Raw genomic sequence first — 3,638 nt, 5'->3', positions numbered from 1 at the left:
AGTGGTACCTGTGGAGTGGCCATAGAAATGAAGCCTGAAATGTTGGGATTCACTCAGGATGGTGGCAGAAATATTAACGGGAAATATTAGGAAAAGTTATAAGAAATAGTCACAAACCTTTTGGAAGGCCGAAAGGTTACATAGCTTGTAATAATTGAACAGGCTGAAGGCAACCAGTTCTTACCTTAGAGCATTAGGTCATAGGGTAAATACTAGGGACAATAGAGGCTTCCCCAGTTAAGTCTGTTTACCCTACTTCCATTAACTAACCTTTGAGCCAGATGACCCTCTTGGGGGGAGGTCGACCAGGGATATTGCCCCCTAATAGTGTTTAGATGGCAGTACCTGAGCTTTAATCATTCCTAGAACTACTCTCTTAACCATGTTAATTATCCACAAGTGTGTCGACTCAGAGCTTTTGTTATTTATTGTATACTAAATAAATGCCTGGAGTGCGAACTGCTCAGGGCTGGCCGCAGTGACAAACCCCTCTTGGTGTGCAGGCAGTCGGACACTCAGCAGGACTGGCAAAAGAGATTATCTGTGTATCAGTGTAGGTTTTATTCATCTGTTGTTTGGGTCAGGGTCTGCGGGTGGACCCCCATAGCTAATGCCCTCCAGTGAGGAGCAATATCTCACTGAAGCACTGGTACTTGTGGAGGGTCTATGAATCCTGAATCTGAGGTGGTACTGGCATTGGTGGCTTGGGCACTGGCACCCTTGCTGTCTTGTTGGTAACAGTATGCAATGCATAGGTGCTTGTGAAGCAACTGTGGAGCTGAGCAGAGACATATGCAGAGATACAGGGCTCAGGTGCCCAGTTCTGTATGGTGGCTGTTGCCTGGAATATGGTCACATTCAAAGAGACCCTGGCTTCAGGGTCTGGAATATGAACTAGATTGCTATGGCAATGGCTTTGGTGTCTGATATGTGGGTATGTGCAGTGCAGCCCTAGATCCCAAGTCTGGAGTGTGGGCACTTGCAGGGCGGCTGCTACTCAAGGGTTGAGGGTTGGGAAAGATAGCGGTTCCATTCCTTTAGGGGCTCAACAGAGGCTGCCTTTGGAGGGGAAAGTGGTGTACAGCTGCATCTTTCTCTCTGAGGTTCCCCTGCAAGAATGACTGTTAGTTGTCTCTTGGATGTAAAAAGTAAAAAAGTAAAAGATGCCAGTGTTTTCTGTGGAGCAGGCCACTGGGGATGATGGTGGTTCCTGTACATGGCTGATACTAATAGTCTCTGCATTTCATTTTTGTTCCTAGCCATCTCTAGTTATCACAAATATACTGATCTCACCAGCAATCCTTTCTGTGTGAATATTCTCTATTTTGTGTGCTCTATTGCGTTGCTGCAGATTTTTTCTTGGTCCCTTGAGTCTTCTCAGGGTGATTTTGGTTTGTGGGTAGACATCTATATATGTTTTTTGTTTATGTATGTGTGTTTGCGGTGGGGCAGGTCAGCACGGATGAAGGCTGGTATCTCCTACTCTGTCATCTTGATGACATTACTCAGTCATTTCTTGTTTTACGTTGACAGAATTTCAGACATTGTGTATGAAAATTTGTAGTGATAACTTGATGCTCTGGGTGATATTATATTCCTCCTGAAATGATTTATTTTTGTTTTTGGTAGAATGTTAGTTTTGGTGAAGCTCACTTTAATATCATGTGATTGACCTGATTTGAGTCGGAGTATCCTTCTATTAGAGGTAGAGCCTATTTTCGTTCAACTTTACTGTTAGGATACAGCCCTTTTAAGGATCACAGCAGTAAGTCCTGGGTGTTTATAGTTACTCTTTACAATCTTTTGAGAGTAATGAAAGCTCTTCTCCACTTCTTAACCTCTAATTTGATGTTTGTGATTTAGAAAATGCCTCTGGGCAAAATGTTGTGCCAAAAGCCTGGGTTATCTCTTGGTTCCACTCTGGAAGCATGTCTCCTTAAATCCCAGATCTCCAGCCTTCAAACAAATGATATTTTTAAAAATTGGCTTCCTTTTGTTGTTCTTTGTAGGAGGCTTTGATTGCAGGAAGCTAGTCCTTAACTGCTGGAAATTGACACCCTTTTATTTCCATATTTAAAAATTAAAACATTTAAAAACATTTTTAATGTTATATCATAGTTGTACATATTTTTGAAGTACATGTGATATTTTGATACATGTAAACAGTGTGTAATAAAATCAGGGTAATTAGGATGTTCATACATCAATAATTTATCTTTTCTTTGTTAGGAACATTACATTTCTTCTAGCTATTTGAAATATATAGTAAACTATTGTTCACTTTAATTTCCCTACTGTACTATCAAATACCAGAACTTATTCCTTCTATCTAATTGTATTTTTTACCTATTAATGAAACTCTCTTCATCACCCCCTCCTCCCTTCTTTTTCCAGCCTCTGCTAAACACTGTTCTATTCTCTACCTCAATGAGATAAACTTTTTTAGCTTCCACATATGAGTGAGAACATTCAGTATTTGTTTTTTGGTGCCTGGCTTATTTCCCTTAACGTAATGACCTCCAGTTCTTCCATGTTGTTGCAAGTGACAAAACTTCACTCTTTTTTATGGCTAAATAATATTCCATTTTGTATACATACCACATTTTAAAATTCATTTATCCATTAATGGACACTTTGGTTGATTCCATATCTTTGCTATTATGAAAAGTGCTGCAATAAAGATGAGAGAATAGATATTTCTTTCATACACTAATTTCCTTTCTTTTGGATATATACCCAGCAGTGGGATTGCTGGATCATATGGTAGTTCTATTTTTAGTTTTTTGAGGAACCTCCTTAATGTCTTCCATAATGGTTGTATTATTTCACATTCTTTCCAATGATGTACAGGCATTCCCCTTTCTCTGCATTCCCACCAACATTTGTTATTTTTTGTCTTTTTGATAATAGCCATTCTAACTAGGGTGAGATGATAGCTCATTGTGATTTTGACTTTTATTTCCCTGATTATTAGTAATGTTGAGCATTTTAAAAATATGCCTGTTGAGTATTTGTATGTCTTCTCTTGAGGAATGTCTATTTAGGTCTTTTAACCATTTTTAAATTAGATTAGTTGGGCTTTCTGCTATTGAGTTGCTCAAGTTCCTTATATATTCTGGTTATTAATCCCCTGTGTGGAAGAAGAGACTGTGAATATTTTCTCCTAGTGTGCAGATTGTTGATTGTTTCCTGTGTTGTGCAGAAGCTTTTTAGTTTGATGTAATCTTATTTGTCTATTTTTGCTTTGGTTGTCTGTGCTTTTGAAGTCTTACCCAAAAAACTTTGCCCAGACCAAGGTCCTGTAGTGTTTTCCCCCCAATGTTTTCTTCTACTAGTTTCAGAGTTTGAGGACTTATATTTAAATATTTAATCTATTTTGAGTTGCTTTTTTGCACATGGTGAGAGGCGGATCTAGTTTCATTCCGCTGCATATGGATATTGATTTTTCTGAGCATCATTTATTAAAGAGAATGTCCTCTTCCCATTGTGTATTCTTGGCATCCTGGTTGAAAATGAGTTGGCTGTAAGTGTATGGATTTATTTCTGGATTCACTATTTTGTTCCATTGGTCTCTGTATCTATTTTCATGCCAGTACGATGCTGTTTTGGTTACTATACTTTTGTAGTAGAATTTAAAA

Source organism: Homo sapiens, chromosome 11, assembly GCF_000001405.40.
Source record: "Homo sapiens chromosome 11, GRCh38.p14 Primary Assembly".
In the NCBI taxonomy this organism is placed as follows: Eukaryota; Metazoa; Chordata; class Mammalia; order Primates; family Hominidae; genus Homo; species Homo sapiens.
The sequence above is the reverse complement of the archived record's forward strand: the minus strand, read 5'-3'. Positions refer to the sequence as shown.